At 43.4% G+C, this 26,804-nt stretch overlaps 1 protein-coding gene across 23 annotated transcripts in view, besides 2 other annotated features; it reads left to right on the top strand.

Moving 5' to 3' along the window:
- The window catches only part of GIT2 (GIT ArfGAP 2), a 70,361-nt gene that overhangs the window by 38,436 nt on the left and 5,121 nt on the right, over positions 1 to 26,804 (top strand). For 3 of the 23 annotated variants that reach the window (XM_047429924.1, XM_047429922.1, XM_006719707.5), the window contains exons 10-18: positions 44 to 116; positions 354 to 451; positions 1,771 to 1,882; positions 8,495 to 8,637; positions 10,413 to 10,517; positions 14,225 to 14,473; positions 16,380 to 16,469; positions 22,482 to 22,564; positions 23,161 to 23,349. In XM_047429924.1, the coding sequence (XP_047285880.1) occupies positions 44 to 116; positions 354 to 451; positions 1,771 to 1,882; positions 8,495 to 8,637; positions 10,413 to 10,517; positions 14,225 to 14,473; positions 16,380 to 16,469; positions 22,482 to 22,564; positions 23,161 to 23,349 (1,142 nt within the window). Of the gene's footprint in view, positions 1 to 43; positions 117 to 353; positions 452 to 1,770; positions 1,883 to 8,494; positions 8,638 to 10,412; positions 10,563 to 12,882; positions 14,474 to 16,379; positions 16,470 to 22,481; positions 22,565 to 23,160; positions 23,350 to 26,804 lie in introns of those variants that run through there. The other 20 variants (XM_047429926.1, XM_005253997.5, NM_057169.5 and 17 more) reach the window with 10 other exon arrangements.
- Positions 13,658 to 14,329: an enhancer, noted in NCBI's record as "H3K4me1 hESC enhancer chr12:110385205-110385876 (GRCh37/hg19 assembly coordinates)". NCBI's record gives its function as "activates a minimal SCP1, AML or CMV promoter by ChIP-STARR-seq in primed H9 embryonic stem cells {active_cell/tissue: H9 hESC(primed)}" and the evidence as "EXISTENCE:reporter gene assay evidence [ECO:0000049][PMID:30033119]".
- Positions 14,330 to 15,001: an enhancer, noted in NCBI's record as "H3K4me1 hESC enhancer chr12:110384533-110385204 (GRCh37/hg19 assembly coordinates)". NCBI's record gives its function as "activates a minimal SCP1, AML or CMV promoter by ChIP-STARR-seq in primed H9 embryonic stem cells {active_cell/tissue: H9 hESC(primed)}" and the evidence as "EXISTENCE:reporter gene assay evidence [ECO:0000049][PMID:30033119]".

The raw sequence follows: 26,804 nt of genomic DNA, 5'->3' as shown, positions 1-26,804 counted from the left end.
ATTAATCATTGTCCCTTGTGTTCCTGATATTTTTTATTTTCAGCTAAGTAATCATTTGTTTGAAGAACTTGCCATGGATGTGTACGATGAAGTTGACAGGCGAGAGACGGATGCAGGTGACTTGACGTGGCTTTATCTAATAAGCTTCTGTTATCAGTGGGCAGTGAAAAGCTGCCAGGCTCAGTGTTTTACTAGTCCAATTTCTGCTGTCCTGATGGTGCGAGTGTCGACGTTTGCCTTTGCGTGTGTTGGCTTCAGAGTGTGTTTCCCCTCGTAGTGCGTGAGCTGTGCCTCCCAGGAGCAGTGGCACACAGGCGTGATGAGGTTTGTCTCTGGCTCTTTCCTCTGACTAGTCTGGCTTGCCACGCAAAACCACAGCGCCCTGGTAACCGAGACAACGGTCGTCCCCTTTCTTCCGGTCAATCCTGAGTACTCATCAACACGAAATCAGGCAAGTGGCTCAGTTTGGAAAGGAATAGTAGTTGGGGAATGGCTGATGTCATGTTTCATTTTTCCCAGGAAAACTATTCTAAATGTTTTGATTGATTAAAATTTAATATCCTTTATACATATATACACACACAACCCCCAAATTGATAAGAAAAACAATAGACTATAAATAAATGACTGGGAAAGAATATGAAACAATTCACAGAAGAAATATAAATGGCTTACAAATGTGAAGAAATGTTTAACCTTGTCAGTAATCTAAGAAAGCAACTTAAAAGCATTAGTGCAAGTTTTATCAGTCAAATTAATAAAATATATAATAAAGGATACTCCAAACTGGTAAGGATGTGGTAAGCTGAGCTTTCTCTTGCAACAGATAGAACTTTAAATTGCTGTAGATGTTAGAAAAGCAATTTGTTTACCAGTTTCAGAAGCCTCAAAATTAAGTACATCCTTTTACATGGGAATTTCTCATTTGAGAATATGCTCTAATAAAATAAAAATAGATTTATGCACGTGATTTTCATCAAAGCACCATTGTATACAATAGAGCATTAAAAACAGCTAACACATCCATCAAGAGGAGAAATGTTGAATGAATTATGAAGGTGTTTTAGTCTTTATAATTAGCAGCTATATATAAGGATAGGGAATATCTAGACTATGATTTTGTTTAACTTAAATTTTTTTTTTCTTTTGAGACGGAGTCTTGCTCTGTTGTCCAGGCTAGAGTGCAGTGGCACCATCTCAGCTCACTGCAACCTCCACCTCCCGGACCCAAGCGATTCTCTTGCCTCAGCCTCCCCAAGTAGCTAGGATTACAGGCACCCGCCACCATGCCTGGCTAATTTTTGTACAAAGTCCTGACCTCAAGTGATCCTCCCGCCTCAGCCTCCCAAGGTTCTGGGATTACAGGCGTGAGCCACTGCACCCGGCCTAAACTTAAAATTTAAAAATTCCCCTCAAAATTAATTTATTATTACTGGGTCTACTTCCAAACTGAAGCATTAATAGAAGAAAAGCATTCAGTAGACCCATTTTATTTTTGCTTACCAAAATAGACCTGCATTGTGAGAACAATGCATATGTGAGAAATGCCATAACATTTGTTATGAAATTCTCTTATATAAATGGTTTTAAACTGTTCATATGGAAAACAAGCATTAACTTGGTTTGATTATGGCTGGGATTAATTGTACTTTGATCATGCCAGAAGAAAGTATTTGCAGAAGTCTGTCAATAGTCTGACTAGTTTTATGTGACTATTTATGTATATATTTTTACACTGGGAAATATTTCCAATTATTTTCCCACCTTTAGGGCAGACAGAAGTTAGCTCGGTTCAACGCCCATGAGTTTGCCACGCTGGTCATTGACATTCTCAGTGACGCCAAGAGGAGACAGCAGGGCAGTTCTCTCTCGGGTTCAAAAGGTAACTGCTCAAACCTCCAAACACTTGCATTTTTTGGCCCTCTAAATTTGACTCAGGTGTTAAAGTTATAAACTAATTAAAGCAGTCATCAACATGACAGTTCTATAGGTTTTTGGTTTTTTGTTTGTTTTTTTACTTTAAGTTCCGGGATACCTGTGCAGAATGTGCAGGCTTGTTACGTAGGTATACGTGTGCCATGGTGGTTTGCTGCACCTATTGACCTGTCCTCTAGGTTCCCTCCCCTCAGCCCCACCCACTGTAAGTTTTATTGGTAGTATATTGTGATAAATAGTTTACCTGTCTGAGCCCTGGTGAATTAACAATATTTCAGAGTTATTAACTGCTACACATATTTATCTTATATATGATTTCTGTTTTGTTTTGGGACACTTAACCTACCCTGTAAAATTGCATCCTGAAATTAACCCAAAACTCTGGCTTAGATCTTGTTAAAGGACATAAGAAAATAAACTCTTCTTGGCCGGGCGTGGTGGCTCACACCTGTAATACCAGCACTTTGGGAGGCCGAGGCAGGTGGATCACCTAACGTCAGGAGTTCGAGACCAGCCTGGCCAACATGGTGAAACCACCTCTCTACTAAAAATACAAAAATTAGCAAGGCATGGTGGCGGGCGCCTGTAATCCCAGCTACCCAGGAGGCTGAGGCAGGAGAATCACTTGAACCTGGGAGGCGGAGGTTGCAGTGAGCCGAGATTGCACCACTGCACTCCAGCCTGAGTGACAGAGCAAGACTCTGTTTCAAAAAAAAAAAAAAACGGAAAAGAAAAACTCTTCCTGATTGAAACTGCATAATATCTGCTGTTGCTTACCTACAAAACTGAGTTCAACATAATTAAAATTTGTTGCCATAAACTTTAAATGTCTTCAGTGAGAATTACTGTGATATACAATTATAAGGAGAGCTCTGAGCATCTGTTTCACCAGTGCCCTGTTGAGTCTAGTTCAGTAGCCCAGGTCCTGTCTGCATGCTTAGGAATGTCCTTCCTCTCCAGCCCTATTACTGTATCCATATTGGTTTTTTCTAATTATAGAAATTAGACGTTTTTCATTGTAAGTCATTTAAGCAAAAGAAATATGTACCATAAAAATTAAGTTTTCAGTCAGTATCACATTCCCCAAAGACAGTAATCATTAACTGACAACAACTCATTCATTCTTCTTTCCTGTTCAGGAATTTGATTTTATCTGTTCAACCAGGAATAAGGAAGTTCTGAAAAGGTTTATTAAATTTTGGTGAAGGCACAGTGACAAGAGTCTTTGGATAAGTTTAAAGTCTTAAAATGGCCTGGGCGTGGTGCCTTACGCCTGTAATCCCAGCACTTTGAGAGGCTGAGGCGGACAGATCATTTGAGGTCAGGAGTTTGAGATCAGCCTGGCCAACATGGTGAAACCCATCTCTACTAAAAATACAAAAAAATTAGCTGGGCGTGGTGGTACGCGCGTATAATCCCAGCTACTCAGGAGACTGAGGCAGGAGAATTGCGTGAACCTGGGAGACAGAGGTTGTAGTGAGCCGAGATCACACCACTGCACTCTAACCTGAGCAACAGAGTGAGACTCTGTCTCAAAAAAAAAAATTGGGGGCCAGGCACGGTGGCTCACACCTGTAATCCCAGCACTTTGGGAGGCTGAGGTGGGCAGATCACGAGGTCAGGAGATTGAGACCATCTTGGCTAACATGGTGAAACCCCGTCTCTACTAAAACTACAAAAAATTAGCCAGGCATGGTGGTGGGTACCTATAGTCCCAGCTACTCAGGAGGCTGAGGCAGGAGAATGGCGTGAACCTGGGAGGCAGAGCTTGCAGTGAGCCAAGATTGTGCCACTGCACTCCAGCCTGAGTGACAGAGCAATACTCCTTTTCAAAAAAAAAAAAATTTTTAACTTAAAAAACAAAGTCTTAAAAAATACCTGCTCTTTGATTTGATAATTCCACTCTTAGGTATTAACTGAAGGGAAATCATCAGAGATGTTATATGTAGAACAACACAAACATTAGAAGCAACTAAGTAATAAAGAGGAACAATTAGTCACATTTTAAAATAGTACATGCTGCACTTTGGGAGGCCAAGGCAGGCGGATCACGAGTTCAGGAGATCGAGACCATCCTGGCTAACACGGTGAAATCCTGTCTCTACTAAAAATATAAAAAATTAGCTGGGCATGGTGGCAGACGCCTGTGGTCCCAGCTACTCGGGAGGCTGAGGCAGGAGAATGGCGTGAACCCGGGAGGTGGAGCTTGCAGTGAGCCAAGATCGCACCACTGCACTCTAGCCTGGGCGACAGAGCAAGACTCCGTCTCAAAAAAAAAAAAAAATACATACTTATCTTTTTTTAAAAGAATATGTAATTGTCTTAGTCCCTTTTGTGTGGCTATAAAAGAATACCTGAGACTGGGTAGTTCGTAAAGAAAAAAGGTTTATTTGGCTAATGATTCTGCTGACTGGAGGATTGGGCATCTGGTGAGAACCTCAGGCTGCTTCCACTCATGGAAGGTGAAGGGGTGCTACATGTGCAGAGATCACACGGTGAGAGAGGAAGCAAGAGAGCGAGGAGGGAGGTGCCAGGCTCTTTTCAATAACCAGGTCCTAGCAGGAACTAATAGAGCGAGAACTCACTACAAAGGGAGGGCATTGATCAGTTCATAAAGGATCCACCCCCATGACCCAAACACCTCCCTTTAGTCCTCCCCTCCAACACTGAGGATCACATTTCAACATGAGATTTGGAGGGAAGAAACATTTATACTATAGTAGTAATTATATGAGACAAAGTAATAAAGTTTGATTTTGTTTTGTTTTTTTTTTTTTGAGACGAGTCTCACTCTGTCGCCCAGGCTGGAGTGCAGTGGCGCGATCTTGGCTCACTGCAACCTCTGCCACCCAGGCTCAAGTGATTCTTGTGCCTTAGCCTCCTGAGTAGCTGGGATTACAGGTGTGCACCACCACACCCAGCTAATTTTTGTATTTTTTAGTAGAGACGGGGTTTCTCCATGTTGGCCAGGCTATTCTCGAATTCCCAGCCTTAAGCGATCTGCCCACCTCAGCCTCCCAAAGTGCTGGGATTACAGGCATGAGCCACCATACCTGGCCAAATAATAAAGTTTTTAAAAGGTTTTGTATAACCCCAGTTTTGTAAGGAAAACATATTTATGTAAATATGTGTGTACAAGTGAGTATACCACATGTAAATATAAATACACAATTGATCCTCATGTGCACATCCCATATTTACAAATTCATCTACTTGCTAAAATTTGTGACCTCAAAATTAATACAGCATTTTCAAGGTCATTGTAAGAAATGTACAGAGCAGAGAAAAAAATTGAGTCACCAAAAGCACATGTTTCCAGCTGAGATTGAACAGGGAGGAGACTCCTTGACTTCTTGTTTCTGCACTCATGCTATAAACAAGTGTCTGTGGTCTATTTAGTGCCATGTTAGTCATATTTGTGTGCTTTTCATTGGTCATTTCACTGTTTTAAAATGGCCCCCTACCGCCCAGGATCAATTGAGTGCCCAGGAGATTGAGGCTGCAGTGAGCCATGATCACGTCTGCACCCTAGCATGGGTGACCCTATCTCAAAAGTGTCTCCTTGGCCAGACGCAGTGGCTCACGCCTGTAATCCTAGCACTTTGGGAGGCTGAGGTGGGCTGATCACGAGGTCAGGAGTTCGAGACCAGCCTGACCAACATGGTGAAACTCTGTCTCTACTAAAAATACAAGAAAAATTAGCCAGGCATGGTGACGCGTGCCTGTAATCCCAGTTACTCAGGAGGCTGAGGCAGGAGAATCACTTGAACCCAGGAGGTGGAGGATGCAGTGAGCTGAGATCGTGCCACTGCACTCCAGCCTGGATGACAGAGTGAGACTCCATCTCAAAAAAAAAAAAAGTGCACACCTGAACAACATAGCAAGGCCCCATCTTTACCAAAAAATTTAAAAATTTTCTAGGTGTGTTGGCATGTGTCTGTAGTCCTACATACTCAGGAGGCTGAGGCAGGAGGATCACTTGAGCCCAAGAGTTAGAAGCTATAGTGAGCTATGATTATGCCAGTGCACTCCAGCCTGGGTGACATAGCGAGACCCTGTCTCAATAAAAAAAGAAAAAAAGTGGCCCCCAAGCATAGTCCTGAAGTGCTGTCTAGTGTTTCTAAGTGCAAGAAGGCTGTGATGTGCCCTACGGAGAAATGTGTGTTAAATAAGCATCATTCAGGCATGATTTATAGTGCCGTTGGCCATGAGTTCAATGTTAATGAATCAATACTATGTATTAAATAAGGTATCTTTAAACAGAAACACACGTAGAACAAGGTTATATATTGATTGGTTGATAACCCCAGAAGCACTGATCTAATATTGGCCAAGTCACAGCAACTTTTTAGAACATAACTACCAAGAGGCTGGGTGCGGTGGCTCACACCTGTAATCCCAGCACTTTGGGAGGCCGAGGTGGGCAGATCACGAGGTCAGAAGATCGAGACCTTCCTGGCTAACACGGTGAAACCCCGTCTCTACTAAAAAAATACAAAAAAATTAGCTGGGTGTGGTGGCGGGCGCTTGTAGTCTTAGCTACTCAGGAGGCTGAGGCAGGAGAATGGCGTGAAACCGGGAGGCGGAGTTTGCAGTGAGCCAAGATCGCGCCACTGCACTCCAGCCTGGGCAACAGAGTGAGACTCTGTCTCAAAAAAAGAAAAGAACATAACTACCAAGCATAACAAGAATTGACTGTGTGTGGCTATAAGTGCTCGGAGAAAAACCTAGAAATAGATCAACAAATAACAATGGCTATAAGTGATTATCTTACTTGTTCATTAGTTTCTAAATTGAATATATTGACTATTCTGTAATTATATTTATGTGTTTTAAAATATTTAAACAGTTAAAATAGGATCTATCCTTTATTATTATTATTATTTTTTTTTTTTTTGAGACAGAGTCTCGCTGTCATCCATGCTGGAGTGCAGTGGCATAGTCTTGGCTCACTGCAACCTCCACCTTCTAGGTTCAAGCGATTCTCCTGCCTCAGCCTCCCAAGTAGCTGGGATTACAGATGTGCACCACCACGCCCAGCTAATTTTTGTATTTTTAGTAGGGATGGGGTTTTGCCATGTTGGCCAGGCTGGTCTCGAACTCGTGACCTCAAGTGATCCATCTGCCTCAGCCTCCCAAAGTGCTGGGATTACGGATGTGAGCCCCTGCGCCCAGCTAGGACCTAGTCTTTTTAAATAACCACCATTCATCACCCAGATATCATCCATCCATTGTTTCCTCAACATCTCTGGGAAACAATATTAGAAGTCAGAGTTTGAGTTGCCTGAAAGAAATCAGAGAGACTTGGGTAGTTTGTGAAATCTTTTGTTCAAAGTGTATTAGATCCTCTAGAATAATCCCTGCTCCCTATGGGATAGACACTCCCTGTAACATGCACATGTGTATTTGTTTGATTCATTCTCCTTTATCTCTTTCTCTCGCTGAGATGCAGGTAATTGACTAAATGCCAATGTTTCTATTCTTTTTTTTTTTTTTGAGACGGAGTCTTGCTCTGTCGCCCAGGTTGGAGTGCAGTGGCATGATCTTGGCTCACTGCAAGCGGGTTCATGCCATTCTCCTGCCTCAGCCTCCCGAGTAGCTGGGGCTATAGGCGCCCGCCACCACACCCGGCTAACTTTTTGTATTTTTAGTAGAGGCGGGGTTTCACCATGTTAACCAGGATGGTTTCGATCTCCTGACCTCGTGATCCGCCCGCCTCGGCCTCCCAAAGTGCTGGGATTACAGGCGTGAGCCACCGCGCCCGGCCCAGTGCTTCTATTGTTTGAGTGCCTAGGTTCTGGCTCCAGTTTAACAATTTGCTTTCTGTTTTGAGTGACATTACCTTGTAAATATGTTATAGGTATTCATAGAATTACAGTTTATCTTCCATTACCTACAGCCTTATCTTCATGACCTGGAGCTAGGCTCTATCTCTAGAAACTTGGGAACCTGCCTTCTTTATCTGAGCAGTTCCTTCCTAAGCCATCTGTTTAATTTGCCCATATTTGGCAGGTAGATGAGAGGAATGCTGGAGTCTCTTATGTAGCTGTCCACCTGGTTGAAAACTTTTTCTGTTATCTCTGTATTGGTGTGAATATAACGTTGCCATTTCTGTCATTTTTTTTCAGTCCTTGTTCATTTTGTTTTTGTCTTTGTTTTTGCTCTTAGAGACAGGGCCTCACTCTGATGCCCAGGCTGGAGTACAGTGGTGCAGTCATGGTTCACTGCAGCCTCAATCTCCTGGGCTCAAGCAATCCTCCTGTCTTAGCCTCCTGAGTAGCTAGTAGCTGGGACTACAGGCCTGTGACACCAGGCCTGGATAATTTTTAAATTATTGTGTAGGGATGGAGTCTCATTGTGTTGCCTAGGTAGGTCTCAAACTCCTGGCCTCAAGCAGTTCTCCTCCTTGGCCTCCTAGAATGCTGGGATTACAGGCAAGAGCACAGCATTCAGCCCTTTAAGTCCTTTAAATGGCTAAACCAAAAAATCCTCTCCGTAGTTTTTTGGAAGAAAAGCAATGTTTTAAGCCTGAAGTAAAGTTGTTTGCTTTTATTGATAGACAATGTGGAGCTCATACTGAAAACCATCAATAACCAGCACAGCGTTGAGAGTCAAGACAACGATCAGCCCGACTATGACAGCGTGGCATCAGACGAAGACACAGATTTGGAAACCACTGCAAGCAAAACAAACCGGCAGAAGGTGAGAGGCCATGCGTCCCATGGAAGGGCAAGCACGCATCAGCTGAGGGCTAGCCCTGCCAAAGCTGCTGTGCAGTGAGGTTGGGTTTGTTACTAGCTCAGGCCAAGCAAAGGTGAAACAAGGTTAAATGGTTTTAAAATAGGGATCCTTGTCCCTGCATCACAGCCCTGCTGCAGTTGAGACTTTATAAAACTTGTGAGGAGTGATTGGTGTGTTTTATTCATTCAACAAGTGTTTACTGAGTGACTTCTCTGGATATTACTCTCCTGAATGAGGCCTCGTCCCTTTCCTGTGAGGCTCTCATTGCCTAGGAGAGAGAGAACTGCGGAGAAGGCACAAAGTGATGTGTGTCATACGAAGCACACACAGGCTGAGGGAGTGAGCAGAGAGAGAATCTATGGCTGGGAGCATCAGGTGGGGCTGTGTCATAGGACAGCTCTTAAGATGCGCCTCAAGGGACGCTTGGGATTGGGGCATGTGGAGGAGTCAGAAAGAAAGTGAAACCAGGGCATCTAAGGGGAAGCTGGTCATGCATAGGGACAGCCTAAAAAGGTTGGGACTCGAAGCTGCAGCAGGAGGGGTATGACACCCGACGGAAGAGAGTGGGCCTCACAGGCAGTGCAGAGCCCAGGATGCCATGTCTGGGGAGGACTCTTCTGGTGGGTTAGAGAGTGGAGGGAGAGATCCATACTGGAGCTGATGCAGGCCACCTAAGGACCCATGCTAGGATGGTGCGGGTGGGAGAGACCTCGGCACCAGAGTGTGAGCTGGGGGAGAGGGCAGCAGGACCCCAGGCTGTGCACCCTCTGCTGACCCCCAGGACACACCCACAGAGGGGCTTGGCAATCATTTGAGAATGGATGAATAGGAAGGTAGAATAGAAAAGTCTTGGCAATAAGTCGGAAGGTTGAAGTGGGGAGACAGATTTATAGAAGATTTGTTTGGAGTTCTTCGGCCCACATGACTGTGAGAAAGATGGCGTCATTAGCAGATGCAGGGGACACCCCTGCGCAGACTTCCCGGAAGCCACCTGGTTCACTCAGTGAGAGCCGAGGTCATTCCAAGACCCTCTGTGACCAGGCCCTCTGTCAACCGCCTGGCCTCCTGCCCAGTCCATCCCACACACCTGCTCCCTCTAGCTGAGCTCCACTGCAGGCTGGAATGTTCTTCCTCCAGATTCATGTGACTCATCCCCTCACCTCCTGGGGCTCTGCTCACCTCTCACCCACTCACAGGCTTACCCCAGCTCCCCGCTTAACATGCAGCCCCCTACCCTGCTCTGTCTTATCTTTTCCCACAGCACTCATCACCCTCAATCATGCAATATATATACTCTCTCATGCTGTTGGAATATAAACACCATGGAAGCAGGAATCTTTGTCTCTTTTCTAATATATCCCAAGCACCTAGAACACTGCCTAATGTTCAATGAAAATGTTGGAATGAATGAATTAATGAAAGAATGAATAAAAACAAAACAAGAGTGAACGAGAGAAAGGCTTACAAGACAGGACAGACCTCCTTAGACAGTCATTGTCAGCATAGATGTGTAGCCTCACTGCCTGTTCTATTAGAAAATACTGACTTTCAAATTTTTTAAATAGTATAGTGACCCTACTTTTATGTTTTAGTTTTGCATTACTCTCAGAGGCCTTGATTTGGTTTGACTAACTTTGCAATTCAGCTGGCTTGGTCAGAATTTGAAATTCTTGAGCTGTTAGTCTTTAATGTTCTCGTCATCTCAGATTGTGAACGTTTTCCCAATTTATTTTTAGAGCCTAGATTCAGATTTATCAGATGGACCAGTCACTGTACAGGAATTTATGGAGGTCAAAAACGCTCTAGTGGCTTCTGAGGCCAAGATACAGCAGCTAATGAAGGTGAATAACAACTTGAGTGACGAGCTGAGAATTATGCAGAAAAAGGTAACATGTTAATAAATGCCAGGACGGTTGACGCTTTAATCCCATAGTACAAGGAAGAATCTCAGGCACTGTGATGTGGTCCGAGGAAAGAAAAACAGTTATTGTAACAGCCTTAGAAATCTTTGGGCCAAGTTGTCTTTTTGAAGCAGGATGTATTTGGATATTTAAAATGAAATATATCCAGAGTAAGTTCCCCAGGTAGGAGAAACCTAACATCTATTTAAGCATTTGTGCCCATTAGAATAACCCTTGGACTATTCTGTGCTTCCTGGAAACCTGGATGGGGCTCCATGGATGTGATTCTTCCCATTGCTAGGGAAGGATGATCACACCATGGAGACAGAGCCAATGAGAGCCCTGGGCAGGGGCATGTTTATCAGCATTCAAACCCTGCTCCCACCCTGGCAGCCCTATCCCACATCCCCACCTTATTGCTCACCAGTTTTTACTACTAACTTGTATTATCCCCAGAGCCTACAGGAGGGCCTGCCACAGAGTAGGTGCTCAAAAAATAAGAAAAAACATTTCATTTGTACTAGGAAGAGCTGCACACTGGTAAAAAACAATCTCATTTGCTCAGCATTTTCTCATTCATTACCTTTTGAGAGAATCAGAACCGTGTGAATATATTAATCCCTAAAAGGAGTGTGGTTGATGGTAGCAAGGAATACCCTTAGTAGGAGGGGGATTGTGTATGCAACTCCTTATGAGATGGCTAAATAAGGGAATTCGAAAAATTGCAAATTTTGCCCATGACTTTGTGGGTATCACTCATCATTCAGCTCTAAAATGAGATTTGGACACTTTACTTAACCAGAAACAAAATGAAATATATAATCTATGTCTTTAGGCTGTCATTTGAGAAGTAAGGTTTTCAAATCATTTTCAAGACCTGAGGACGTGGCACACTCCATGTGTGCCTGGACTCTTTTCAGTGCTGCTTCCTAAAGGAAGGTGGAAGAACTAAAAAGGGGCCCATGCCCCTCTGTTTACTAGGGAAGGAAATTGCTGTGCACTTTTGCCTGGGGTTTGGTCTAGGATTCTTTTGATGTTGACTTCTAGAGCATTTTTGAGACTTTTTGAAATAAATGGCTCTAATGCCTATAGTAGCAGGGAATGAAGAATGCTTAAGATCAGCTAGCCTTAAACGAACAGACACTTGTTCTGTGTCTCCCAGCCCTGTCTAGGGCTGCCGTGCAGCTGTAAACGAGACAGACCGAGAGCCCCTTTGTCATAACATACAGGACCTGTATTTTCTTTGCCTTCTTTGGAATATATTTTATTTAGTGGATTATAGTTTGTTCCATTAATTGGACTAATAATTTTGACCAGGTGACTATTTCTGAAACATGCTGATTTTGCCACTGTAAATCAATCTGCTGCACATCACCTTTTAAAATCTAACAATGCTTCTTTTAGTATTTTTGGAAATCACCAGAGAGAGCCTCATTATCTCTGAAAGCAAATGTCTTGAGCTTCTTTGAGAAATGCAAAGTGAAATTATTTGCTTTTGCTTATTGATTATCTCATCAATTCTTAGAAGTGCTTTTGATTTCTGAAACTATTGAATTGTCTATAACTTTTTATTTTCCCTTATACTCCTTCCAAATAAAAAAGTGTAGCCTGGTTCTTATTAAGATAAACGTCATTAAAATTTATGTGAAGACATCTCTCTAAATACAGAGTACTAACATTTTTAAAAATTGAAACCAAGAACTTGTGCTCATGAGAACACATTCAGACAAAATCCAGGCATGAAAAGTGTTAGGATAAAGTTTCAGATTTCAAGGCCTTAACTAAATAACTGCCACAGAGGCTTTTTATACAGACAAACACGTGATCACATGCACCAGTGCCCCATTGAGGGACCTGTGTCAGTTACACACCTCAGTCCTTGAACCTTGACCATTTCACTCTAGGCCCTGGGTTCTCTAATGAATAGTTTCAACAGGCACTTCATGCCTGTCTGTATCCTGGAATGTAGAAATGTTCAGGGCTGCTTTGTCAGCTGCTTTGCAGCTGTTCTTTCCCTGGAAAGGGAATTGCAGATATGAGCTATACCCTGCCAGCCTTTGTGATATAAAAGCATTCTATCATTCTGTAATGGCTTGCTCTTCAGAGAAACAGAATGAGTGGTCTTTTTGTGGAAGAGGCAGTAAGTCACACTTTCACAGCAGTTTGGCATGATTAATATAAAGTATATGGAATTTGTTTATTTAGCAAAGATGTATTGATTATATTTCAAAGTTGGGTAAAGTTTTTAATATACATAAAGTTGACAAAGTAGCATGATTTGTATCTGATCTTTCACATTTAACAGTTGCTTGGAAAAGATGCTAATTAATGAAGAGGAGCAACTACTATTGGTGTATTTTTCACAGATTGGTGCTTTCTAAATAAAAATTGAAAGTAACTCCTAACATTGAATGGGTTTGCTACTGAAAAAGTAATGATCTTCTGGTGCAAACAGTTGCTTGTGGACTTAAACCTTGGCACTGGTGGGGAATTTGGTCAGATTTTACAATCTCTGTCAAAGAGTAGACAGCTGAACTCACACCACACCCAGCTTATAGAATGTCCATGGAAGATGAAGGCGCACCAGAAGGGAAGGACCCTGCGCAGAATGGACGTGGTGAATGGTGTTTAAAATGCCAGATGCCAAAGAGTAACACGATTCCCTGCTGACCCCTTAACTCTAATCCATCCAGCACCATGGAGCAGCCTGCATGTGAGGAATGGAAGGAGCATTCAGGGCCTCCAAGTGACAGTCTCTAAAATGGGGTGGTGCCAGGCAGATTAGCATGTTCAAAGCTGACACCACTGAGGTCGTGTTTTTTGGGTGACAAAGCCAAAGGAGAGAAAGGCCAAATATTCCAGCCCTGGCCGAAAGATGATCACTCACCAGACGGAAGCAAGCGTGCTGCGTGGAGCATCCATGCGAAGATGTCAATTCCATAGATCAATAGGTTTCCAGTTTTCTTCGTGATATGTTAATATAGCAAACTTACCATGATCCGGTTTTCTCTTTTTTCTTTTTTTTTTTACAAAGTGCTGAATTGTTTGGAATATCAAGAGTATTATGTAATAAAAACTTGTTGATCATAATTTTTCTTGTTGGCTTTTTGGAAAGCAATAGGCGATCTGATTTTTCACAAGCTGAACTTCTGTCTTTCTTGCTTTGCAAAGCAACCCTAGTCATCTTTGTGCTGCTTCCATGGTGTCTGCTGTCATTTTTGGCCTTTACAAATTGCTCAGGGCTCATTTGAAAAGCAAGTTACCTAAATGATGTTTTAATGATCTCGAACTCTTGCTTGAAACAGCCTTAGTAATAATCCAGTGTACAGCTTGCCTGCAAACATTTCCCAGCCCCACCATGACAAATTTTAAAGTGGTTAGACATTTTGTTTTGAGGAAGTCCAAACCACAACTTTTCCACATTCAGAAATGAAGCTATTTAATTTGCTTACGTGATGAAGGGAGTTGATTGTGTTTCACCCAATCCAGAAGAAAGGGTCCTTGTTTGTATTGGCTTTTTACTTTCAGCCCGGCTAGCTGTTACTGTCCTTATTGTTTAAAACTGGTAGTTGTATTCATTTACTTGGTGTTTGCTTTTTCTGCTTGCTGTAAAAAAACACAGTCCCACTGCCAAACATTTCTTTCAGCTTCAAACACTCCAGAGTGAAAATTCGAACCTCAGGAAACAGGCCACAACCAATGTATATCAGGTGCAAACTGGTTCTGAGTACACAGACACTTCCAACCACTCTTCCTTAAAGAGACGTCCGTCTGCCCGGGGCAGTAGGCCCATGTCCATGTACGAGACCGGATCAGGTCAGAAACCATATCTCCCAATGGGAGAAGCGAGCCGCCCCGAAGAGAGCAGGATGAGACTCCAGCCCTTCCCCGCGCACGTAAGTAACACCACTGGCGCTTCTGCTGTTCACTCTATGCAGCCTGTCTACTCTGTTCCCTCTTCTGAACCTACAGGTCCCCACAGCTCTGCTTTGCCAAATTGGACTAAGAGAGTTACCATTGTGTTTGCTGTATTAACATGTCCACAGATGCTTGCGATATTCCCACAAGCACACAGGGCCATGGGCTGATGGTTTCCTAACCAAGTTGGGGATTCTGGCTCTTGCCCGAACTGCTGCTTTTTTCTCCCCCACATCCATGATTATTTCTCAACCAGCCAGTGTTGGAACTTTTTTTGGTAAAGCTTCCTTCCTTCTCTACTTCCAAAAACAAAAATAAATCATAAAGTTCACTCTCAGAAGGAAGTGTTGCCTTCTTGGAGCTAGACAGGGATGTGCCCCTTTAAGTACTGGAGCCCTTAGAATCCAAGACGTCTTTTCAGCTCCTCCTCAAGCAGGTGGCCTTGAGTCTGTGGCCCAGGTACCCAGGCAAGGCTGGAAGGCTCCAGGCTTCCGCAGCCTCTCCATGTGTGCTCAGTGTGCCTGCTAGGTTCGCTTCTGCATCCTGCTCCTCCCACCGTGGTGGGGGAAGTGTGGCTTTGTTGTCTCAGAAAAGGAAATGTAATACTCTACATCAGTCTTAGAAGCGCTGAATTCCAGAGATTGTGTTCTGCAGCAGGGTTCTTACAATCTTATTTTGCATTGGGATACATACTGTGTTATAAGGTTTTCAAATATATTTCTTCTGGATTACTTTATTATAAAAATATGTGTTTTGCCAAGATGTTACATTTAAACTTTTTCATGGGATGCTTTTTCAGAGAGTAGTATTTGTCTTTTTGAGTGTCAAAGTTTATTATTTCTTCAGTCAAATTTTATGGGAGTTTCCAAAAAAATTCTCAAGGTAGATGCAAAGCAAGGACATGGTTTCGTGAATTAAACCCTAGTTTAATTTTGTCAATTTTCAGTGTGGTAAAATTACAATATTGTTTTACTATAATTGGGAGTCTGTTATCTCAGATTCTTTTTAAGATATTTGGGTTTAACATTCTAAGGCAATTGATTTGATACATTTGATGTAATGGGAATGCCACTGAACTAAGTTAAGAATCTTTTTTTTTTGAGATGGAGTCTCGCTCTGTCACCCAGGCTGGAGTGCAGTGGTGTGATCTCAGCTCACTGCAACCTTTACCTCCTGGGTTCAAGCAGTTCTCCTGCCTCAGCCTCCTGAGTAGCTGGGACTACAGGCACATGGTCCTGTGCCTGGCTAATTTTTTTGTTTTAGTAGAGACGGGGTTTCATCATGTTGCCCAGGCTGGTCTCAAACTCCTGAGCTCAGGCAATCCGCCCGCCTCAGCCTCCCAAAGTGCTAGGATTACAGGTGTGAGCTACCATGCCCACCCTAAGTTAAGAATCTTATTTTTGTATAGCTGAAGACAAAATTTAGGAAAAGCAACTTTGTTATTTTTCAGTGTACTTTCTTATTTTAGAAAAAATTAGAATATAAAGATATATCAGGAAGGCACTGTAATTGTACTAAAAATTAGATTGATAGTGTATAGCAACTTAGAATCATTTTTATAGTTTCTCATTTCACATCAGTCCTGATTGAAAAACAAATATGCATTTCATAGTATCCATTAAAAAATTATTGACAAGTTTGACAAATTATGTTAGGTATTTCCCTTATGGAAAAGCAGCCTTATTAAATTCAGAGTAATTTCCAGGAGGTGTTTCACCAAGGGTTTAAGCATCTCTGGGGTCCTGTCACTGGTGGCCACTGAGATTGCAGCACTCACGTCACATAATGTGTGGTGTTCCAGGATTCTTTTACTGAAGCTGGCAAGGTGGTAGGTTTTTGGTTTGTTTTGTATTTTCCCGAGTGTGTTTCTCTTTCCCATTCCAGATCGGGAGGAGTGCACTTGTGACCTCCTCTTCATCTCTGCCTTCCTTCCCCTCCACACTTTCCTGGTCGAGGGACGAAAGCGCCCGAAGGGTTAAGTACATTCTGAATGGTCTGCTCTCTGGAGGAGGGGCCGTGCTCCTGGGCGCTTTGTGCTTGGGCTCTGGCCCTCCTGTCCCTGCTAACTGCCCTTCCGTCCTGCATGAGGCAGCACTTCCTCCTGGTTTCTCACAGTGCATCAGGCTCACACTCGTCCACATGCACGCTCACCCATCGAGGGCGCCTCCCTTTCTCTAACCCCATACTGCTCATGTTCACGTCATATTTAACAAAGTTTGCAAATCACCCTACAGCATTTATTCTGAGCAAACTGTTTTTTTAAACAACGAGAAAATTAGCTGGCTGCTGGTTAGATATTATAATAGGCCAAATTTGTTCAATTTGTTCAGGGCTACAGTTGTCAGATTGAAACTGCTGTATGTGGACTCGCTGAAGTACTAAAATGTCATGCCTTTTTTTTTTTTTTTAACCTGTGACACATTTTATGTCAGCACCACAAGTGCTGACAAACCAAGGTTTACAAGTCCCTGCATCTTGAATCAGAATTGTAACACCTTGTGGCATTGGAGCTATGCAAGCAGCTGTTAACCTAAAGCTGTTCACTTGTACGGGTTGGTTAAACCTCACCTACTGGTGTATAATTTATGGTCTCAATAGCAGTGCATGATTCAGGTAAGCCTCTTTTAGAGTAGTCAGGCAGTAAGTATTAAGCACCTCCTCCATACACAGCGTTTGGGTAAGTCAATGAAAGGGTCCTAAGGACTTAGCTGGCACAGCCCCTGCTCCCAAAGGCACTGTCAATTAAAAAATACTTTCATGCATAAAGAGTGGTACATGACCACAACCTGGGAAAGCCGTGGAAAGGGCATAGGCTTTGAAATCCACGTCCCAGTTCTGGCTCCATCTCTTTTTTAATGGAAGGGTAATGTAAGGTAAGAGGAGGAAGGTGGCTGTGGGTAAGGGACCACCTTTACAGGCAAGGTGGGGTTTGCACTGGGCCTTTGCCATTCCCTCCACACCTAGGAATTATGGAGAGCCTTTCTTTCCTAGTTCCAGTGGCATATGGATTACCAAGGCCCTTTCAGGATTCGTTTTTTTATTTTTTATTTTTTAGAGACAGAGTCTCATGTTGCCCAGTCTGTAGTACAATAGCTATTTACAGGCATGGTCATAGCGTACTGCAGCCTCAAACTCCTGGGCTCAAGCAGTCCTCCCACTTCAGGCTTCTGAGTAGCTGGGCCTACAGGCATGCGCCACCATGCCCTGACCCTTTTGGAATTCTTCACTTCACTTTCAGTCTATTAAGAATTCTCAGCCGAGTGCAGTGACTCACACACTTTGGGAGGCCTAGGCGGGTGGATTGCTTGAGCCCAGGAGTTCAAGACCAGCCTCAGCAACATGGCGAAATCCCATCTCTATAAAAAATATAAAAAATTATCCGGGTGTGTTGATGTGCACCTGTAGTCCCAGGTGCTTGGGAGGCTGAGATGGGAGGATCACTTGAGCCCACCATGAGAGATCGAGGCTGCAGTGAGCCATGATTGTGCCATTGCACTCCAGCCTGGACAACACAGTGAGGCCCTGTCTCAAAAAAAAAAAAGGAATTACTGTACTAAAAAAAAAAAAAAAGAATTCTTGATACATTGTACTTAAAGTCTCGGCTGGGTGCAGTGGCTCATGCCTGTAATCCCAGCACTTTGGAAGGCCAAGGTGGGTGGATCACTTGAGCCCAGGAATTTGAGACCAGCCTGGCCAACATGGCAAAACCTGTCTCTACTAAAAATACAAAAATTAGCGGCGGGTGGTGGCGCATGCCTGTAATCCCAGATACTTGGAAGGCTGAGGCACGAGAATCAAGAATCCCTTGAACCTGGGAAGTGGAGGTTGCAGTAAGCCGAGATTGCACCACTGCACTCCAGCCTGGGCGACAGAGTGAGATTGTCTTAAAAAAAAAAAGTCTCCTGAGCAGTTCTGAAATTGAACTGTAATGTTTCATTAAAATAGCCCAGATACAACTAAAGGACAGTTAGACAGTGATTAAATATCTCATTAGAAATTTTGTAAGTCAAACCTCTTTTGTCTACTGTGAAATTTTTGTTTTTTAATTTGTATGGTAGCCTTAAAAATCATTGCAAGGACTGCTTGCTGAGACAGAGTTTTGTACAAAAATCATTTAAACTGATCACCCTGATTGTTCCTGACAGCTTCATCATGAGTTTAGATTTTTATGGCGTGTCTTTATTCAGAGAAAACTGCAAACCTATTAAATACATTGAACCAGCACCAGCTATAAGGTAACCTTCCTATTAACAGCTTTGAGAGAGCAGCACTCTTAACCAATAGCTTTTGGCTCTGCATGCTTATAATATTTTTGATACAATTAAATGCTGGCTACACTGAAATTCTGTACATATGCTTTTGTTGACAACGATGGAAGGACTTAACTAACGTGTAAGTAACTGATTTCCTGGGTGGTTGCTGCTATATGTTGTTTTCCATACTTGAAAAAACATTTACCAAATGCATTTATTAGGTATATGAGTCACTACTCTTCTAAAATGTTTAAATGAAACTTGGTACTTTTCATCATTGAGGGTAATGCATTTGATTTGCGATTTATCACATTTTCATCAGGGAAGGCAAAAAGATTCATTATAAAGGCCAGACATGGTGGCTCACGCCTCTAATCCTAGCACTTTGGGAAGCCGAGGCAGGTAGATTGCCTGAGCTCGGTAGTTTGAGACCATCCTGAGCAACACAGTGAAACCCTGTCTCTATTAAAATACAAAAAATTAGCCAGGTGTGGCGGTGGGTGCCTGTAGTCCCAGCTACTTGGGAGGCTTAGGCAGGAGAATCACTTGAACCTGGGAGGCCGAGGCAGAAGTTACAGTGATCCAGGATTGCACCACTGCACTCCAGCCTGGGCGACAGAGCAAGACTCTGTCTCCAGATAAATAAATAAAAAAGATTCATTATAAAAATGTAGAATTTTCTGGGTTTAATTCTGTTTCTAGTTTGTTTTCCACTGGAGCAGCTCTGGGCAAATTTTTCAGTATAATTACGTAAATGCAAGTTTTTATCTATTCATATATGTGTATATGTATACACACACACACCTCTGTGTGGGTGTATATATAAAAACCAAAATAAAACTTAAAAGTTAGTTGGGGCCAGGTGTGGTGGCTAACACCTATAATCCCAGCACTTTGGGAGGCCAAAGTTGGAGGATCACTTGAGCTCAGGAGTTCAAGACCAGGCTGGGCAACATAGTGAGACCTTGTCTCCACAAAAAAGTACAAAATTAGCCAAGCGTGGTGGCACGGGCCTGTGGTCCCAGCTGCTCAGGAAGCTGAGGTGGGAGAATCGCTTGAGTCTGGGAGGTCGAGGCTGCAGTGAGCCGAGATTGTACCACTGCACTTAGCCTAGGCGACAGAGTGAGACCCTGTCTCAAAAAAAAAAAAGAAAAAAAATTGGCAGGGTGCGGTGGCTCACACCTATAATCTCAGCACTTTTGGAGGCTGAGGCGGGAAAATCACCTGAGGTCAGGAGTTTGAGACCAGCCTAACCAACATAGTGAAACCCCATCTCTACTAAAAATACAAAATTAGCTCGGTATGGTGGTGCATGCCTGTAATCCCAGCTACTCAGGGGGCCGAGGCAGGAGAATTGCTTGAACCTGGGAGGCGGAGGTTGCAGTGAGCCTAGCTTATGCCATTGCACTCCACAGGCAACAAGAGTGAAACTCAATCTCAAAAAAAAAAAAGAAAAAAGTTAGGCATTCCCTGTGAAAGATAAGAAGGGTTTTGGGTTTTTCTTCTTTCTTTTTCATTTTCTAAGCTCATCTCTGGAAGACCACAGTGCTTGCCCATGATCTTCCTGCTATAAACTTCTAGCAGCCAAACTCACTGACTGTTCATAAAGCCAGATCAAAACAAGGCAGCAAGAGAAGCAGAACTACTTATTGATAGGAGATATAAACAAAGGGATCATCAAAGTTGTCGATTCTACAGAAATTAGCTTTACAGACTCCCCATATGGCTCCAAGCTAACGTTTAATCATTTGCCAGATGGATTTGAGTGGCTTCAGGATGCACGAGTTCATAGTGAATTTTAGGAGCCCACAGCAAGTGTCTTGTATTTGAGCAGCTGGGAACTAAACAGCATGCGTGGAGGTGTGGATGGAAGACCTCAGCCGACAGAGGAGAGAACATGCGCCCTGGGAGCAGAAGAGTGTATGGGGATAGCAAACAAAGTGTGGTGTGAATAAGGGGGGCTTCTCCACGTGGGTCCGGCTGCCTTGCCTGTACCCACCAGGTGTTATCAGTAAGGAGTGACAGGCTTTATGTAGAGTTTTGTGGGGTTTTTTTTTTTTTTTCTTTTTGGTTTTGTTTTGTTTTGTTTTGTTTTGTTTTTTGAGTTAGGGTCTAGCTCTGTCACCCAGGCTGGAGTGCAGTAGTACGATCTCATCTCACTGCAACCTCCGCCTCCTAGGCTCAAGAGATCATCTCACCTCAGCCTCCCGAGTAGCTGAACTGCAGGTGTGCACTACCACACCCAGCTAATTTTTGTACTTTTAGTAGCGATGACGTTTCACCATGTTGCCTAGGCTGGCCTCAAATTCCTGACCTCAAGTGATCTGCCCACCTCTGCCTCCCAACATGCTGGGATTATGGGTGTGAGCCACCGCACCTGGCCATGTAGACCTTCTTAAACCAACTTACTCAAAAGTAGCCACTCTTTTGGATGAAGCTACAGGGTTTCCATATGTTTAAACAAAGCTCTTAGTTTACATCTGTGTCCTTAGCCACATTTTATTGCAGCATCAATAAAACTCCTTAGTCCCATGTTTTGATTAACTTGGATGAAATTCAAGGAGTAAAGCTAGAAATAGCTCACACTTATATTTTATAAGGTAAGTGGTTTAGGTTTTAAATTAGCCTCCACTGATCTCTGTTCCAGAGAAGTTCTCAAGCATTATGGGTGAAATAAATAGGGAAAATAATGTTCATGAAATACTCAGAACATAGTCCCCTTCGAAGGAATAAAGTCCCCTTCAAATTTCGTCACCCTAGAAGATCGTGTGTTTAGCAGTGCTGCCATTTGTTCAAAACATTTTTAGGATTCCTCTTTTGAATCTGTATCCCATTTTTGATCACCACAGTTGCACCAAATCTTTACATTTTAAGGGGTAGATTTGAGCCCAGGCATGAAATATTGGAGGTAGCAGGAGGCAGGAGACCTGGTGCTTGGTCCTGTTTTTCTGCAGACTTTGTGGCCTTTGGTGGGCCACCCAGCTTTTTTGGCCCTTCATTTTCTCATATGGGGCTCAATGAGATAATCTGAAGGTGGCTTCCAGTGCTGAAGGTCTGTGGTCATATAAGTGCTGGCATGTTTTTTTGTTTGTTTGTTTCTGAGACAGGGTCTTATCTTACTCTGTTTCCCAGGCTGGAGTACAGTGGTGCGACCATGGCTCAATGCAACCTTGAACTCCTGGGCTCAAGCAGTCCTCCCTCAGCCTCCTGAGGAGCTGGGACTACAGGTTCATGCTACCATGCCTGGCTGATTTATTTATTTATTTATTTATTTATTTATTTATTTATTTATTTATTTTATTTATTTTTTAAATGTTGCCCAGGCTGGTCTCAAACTCCTAGCCTTAAGCAATCGTCCTGCCTCAGCCTCCCAAAATACAGGGATTACAGGTGTGAGCCACCACACCCTGCCTGTATTTTAACTGCATCTCATTATGTTATAAATTTGAGAACTAAATGAGGATATGTTGCCTTGCATGTCTGTTAGTTTGTACTAAGGATCTGATTAGGAAGTGGCCACTGAGCTAAGAAGAAAATGGTGCAAAGAAGGAAAGAGGCCATTTCTGGATCCAATATTCATCTTTTACTAAATTTTCACTAGAGAGTTGTCCCCTGTCCCAAATGAGATTTGGGATGTGAAGGCCAGTAGCCTAACAGGTAACAATTCCTGGGGAAGACTCCTGAGAAGAGTCTCATGTTACAAACTCATGAGGGTCCCTCTTCTTTCTTGTAGGCATCCAGGCTGGAGAAGCAGAACAGCACACCTGAGAGTGACTACGACAACACTCCCAACGACATGGAGCCAGATGGCATGGGGTACATGCACAGGACGAGCGTGCCAGGGGAGGGGCTCCCCAGGGCCAGAGACCTGGCAGGCCTGGGCCAGCAGAAGCAGTTCACCACACACACCCCTTTTCTCTATTTTCAGACTCATAAAGTCTTAAAGTATTCAAGCATACGCTCGTAGTTTACATGTCTTGTCATCTCACATTGTTGCCGAAAGGCCTTTTTCTTTGTACCAGCATGTTATGTGTCTCTAGCTGTCTGTAGTGTGTTTAAAGTCATTACCCCACTTCATCATGAAGACAACATTAGGTTACATTCTGCATTTGTACCCAAGGAGTTGGCCCACCTGAGGATGGCTTTATAAACAAACACCCTCCCCGCTCCAGGTATTTCCCTCCCTTTTCCCCTCCTTCACCCTTCCTGTGAGAGTCAACACTTCCAGCCCTATGGTAGAGTGAAATAGCCGATTTTAGAGCCTTACCATGAGTCTCCTGCTAGACAGGATAAAGGAAATGACGAGACCAGCCTGCTCATGCATTTAGCCAGTGCATACAAAGTGGCTCCTAGAAGCAGAGGGGCAGCTGATAAGCACCTGCTGTATTTAACTGCATCTTTAATGTTCACAGGTCAAGCCGAAAGGGACGGCAAAGAAGTATGGTGTGGCCAGGGGATGGCTTGGTACCAGACACAGCAGAACCCCATGTGGCCCCAAGCCCCACTCTCCCTAGCACCGAAGATGTCATCAGGAAGACTGAACAGATCACCAAAAACATACAGGAGCTCTTAAGAGCAGCCCAAGAAAATAAACATGACAGGTAAGCAGGATTGAAGACCCTGCTTTGGGAGAGCATGAGTTATGCGCCCAGAAAGGGATGATGCCCATGTTCCTAATGGCAGCTATTCCCAGCATGCTGACTTCAAGGTCATTGAAAACAAGTCTACATAACAGGCTTAAGAACAATGTCAGTTTTGGTTTGCTTTGTCTTGTTTGATTTACATGGTATTTTCTTTTTTTTCATCTTGTTACGAAGCTCCGAAAATAAATGCCTCTAGAAACAGGATTGCGGCATAGTTAGGGTGGTGACAATGCTAGTTCTAGGAGGGGGACAGGGGCTACCTTACACCTCGCTTCTGGCCATGGCTATACCCTGGCCTGGCTAAGGACAAGGCCGCTGACACAAAAGGTATCCTGGGCTGGGCACAGTGGCTCACACCTGTAATCCCGGCACTTTGGGAGGCCGAAGCAGGTGGATCACCTGAGGTCAGGAGTTCGAGACCAGTCTGACCAATATGGTGAAACCCTGTGTCTATGAAAAACACAAAAATTAGCTGAGCATGGTGGCATGTGCCTGTAGTCCCAGCTATTCAGAAGGCTGAGGCAGGAGAATTTCTGGAACCCTGGAGGCGGAGGTTGCAGCGAGCCAAGATCATGCCACTGCACTCCAGCCTGGGCAACAATAGCGAAACTGTCTCAAAATAAATAAAGTTGATCTCATCATCACCCAAGTCCATCTCTGCACTTGAGAGGGGAGGCTGTTTACTCTGACTAGAAGCACGTCCTGTGGTTAATTCTTACCCTGAGGAAGGGACTGGCTCTTGCTCCAACTTAGCCTTTTGTTCTTTGAGAGTGAATTCTCTGAGAACTTCCGGTGAGTTGCGAACTGCTTGGGGTAACATCCTAGCTTCCCATGGTTGGCAGGATGTAGACACTCATAAAACATTAGCTAAACCAGCAGAGTTCAGTCAAACCCAAGAAAAATCTCATTCTTTTCATTAGGTCAGCAAAGTTTAGGACTTCAGTGAAGAACTTTCTTCACGCCTTGCACGAGCAAAAAGTATTCAAGGGATGCTGTGCTGTTTACTCTTCTCTCTGTTTTCTTCTTCCACACAAACATGCATCTGGGCCTTTGTATTCCCTTTTGTAGTCCTGGCACTACTGGGCCAACCTCCCTTTTCTGTACCCTTTTTTATATGGCTCACACATCTCCCAGTGTCCTTATTTCCCACTAGGAAAGAAGGGAATAATCCATGTTTATTGAAAGATAAGAGTTAGTCTTCTGGAGGGACTGCTGGAAGCTCCTCAGAGAAAAAGAGAAACATGCATAACTTTTAAGCCTCCTTCGATAAAAACTGTCTAATTATTTGGCTTCCTCCTCCCTCCTTTCCCAGGCATTCTCTTCATACCATGCCTTTGGGACCCCACGGGTTACAAGCACACTCACTTTGCTCAGGACCATAGTCTTGGCAGTGAGTGACTTCATATTTGATTACAGAAAGCAAAGTGTCCCATGGCTTTCCAAAGTACAGAGCTTTTTTTTTTTTTTTTGAGACAGAGTCTTGCTCTGTCACCCAGGCTGGAGAGCAGTGGCACGATCTTGCTCACTGCAACTTCCGCCTCCTTGGCTCAAGCGATCCTCCTGCCTCAGCTTCCCAAGTAGCTGGGATTACAGGTGCATGCCACCATGCCCAGCTAATTTTTTTGTATTTTTAGTAGAGACAGAGTTTCACCATGTTGGCCAGGCTGGTCTCGAACTCCTGATCTCAAGTGATCTACCCGCCTCAGCCTCTCAAAGTGCTGAGATTACAGGCGTGAGCCACCGTGCTTGGCCAAAGTTTTTGACAGCGTTTAATGTAATCATGATTCAATAACACTTTCTTCCCGAGCACCGTGACCCCATTTGTCAATGTGCTTCGCTTTTCATTTCCTCTAGTTCAGAAGTGCTGTGCTTGTATTTCAAACTAAAATGTGCTTGCCTTATATTGCTGTCTTTGTCAAAAATACAAATATCTGCCCTGAGGCCATTTCTACTTCAAAGATGCAATATGGTGCTTGGTACAATTTGGGAAATTTCTTTTTTTTTTCTTTCTTTGTTTAAAATTTACAAATCCATTCAACAACACATATAATGATCTGATTTCCTTTTTTTTTTTTTTAAGACCATGAGAGAATGATGCAGAGATTTTAATCATTAGCTCATTCTTTTGGTTTAAAACCATAATTGGTCTAGAGAATTTATATTTCATAAATTGTTCAATCCTATATTAAAATTCAAGATGCTTTTATTTATCATCTTGAATTGTACGAATTAAACCCATGCCTTTTTCTCTTGTTTTCTCCTCTTGATCCATGTAAGCAACCCCAGCCCCTGACCTTCCTGAAGTCTGGTCTTGTCTCCTGGGCCTCCAGCCTCACTCCTGCCCTCACACAGGCACACATACAATTCAGGGATTATGACATATTATGCACGAAAACCTTTTTGAGGAAAGATACCAATGTGAAGTTGTGAATATGGACTCCTGTTAGAGGAGGAGGGCTTCCTCATTAATCCGGGTGTGCTCGCTTTTCTATCGTGTGGAGGACTTCCCCAAATAGTTCATAATGAGTGAGCTTTTGAGAGATGGCCTTAGGAAAGATTCCTTCTCTGTGTAGCAGGAGGAAAGGGTGAATCGTATTTCTCAAAAATGAAACCATAAACAACAAAATATAAAACTCTTCACTGGCTGGGCGCGGTGGCTCACGCCTGTAATCCCAACACTTTGGGAGGCCAAGGCGGGTGGATCAGTCAGGAGTTCAAGACCAGCCTGACCAACATGGTGAAACCCCATCTCTACTAAAAATACAAAAATTAGCCGGGTGTGGTGGTGCAAACCTGTAATCCCAGCTACTCGAGAGGCTGAGGCAGGAGAATTGCTTGAAGCCGGGAGGCGGAGAAGCCAGGAGGCGGAGGTTGCAGTGAGCCGAGATTGCACCACTGCACTCCAGCCTGAGCGACAGAGCGAGACTCCATCTCAAAAAAAAAACTTCAGTGTGGTTCTCAGTCACTGTGATATTAACAGACACACAGTTTATTAGTATGCATGATACATGTGACGGCTGTGGACATTGCTTTTTTCTCTTTCTGAAATCTGTGTGACCAGATAGGTTGTTGCCCCTTCATATTTACAAGTTAAATAACTCCATATATGTTGGAATTTTTGTTATTAAATGGTTTGTGATTCTAATTGCTCACAAAGGTAGAAGTCAGGATTTCCAATGAAGGCATTTTTGGATACTATAAACCATTTTCTTGAAATGTAATGGTTTAATTTAAAATGTAGGCAGTCTTTTTTTTTTTTTAGACGGAATCTCGCTTTTATCCCCTAGGCTGGAGTGCAGTGGCACAATCTTGGCTCACTGCAACCTCTGCCTCCCGGGTTCAAGCGATTCTCCTGCTTCAGCCTCCTGAGTAGCTGGGATTACAGGCATGCGCCACAATGCCCAGCTAATTTT

Source organism: Homo sapiens, chromosome 12 (genome assembly GCF_000001405.40).
Source record: "Homo sapiens chromosome 12, GRCh38.p14 Primary Assembly".
Taxonomy (NCBI): domain Eukaryota; kingdom Metazoa; phylum Chordata; class Mammalia; order Primates; family Hominidae; genus Homo; species Homo sapiens.
Note: the sequence above shows the minus strand (reverse complement) of the source record. Positions and strands in the feature narration are given on the sequence as shown.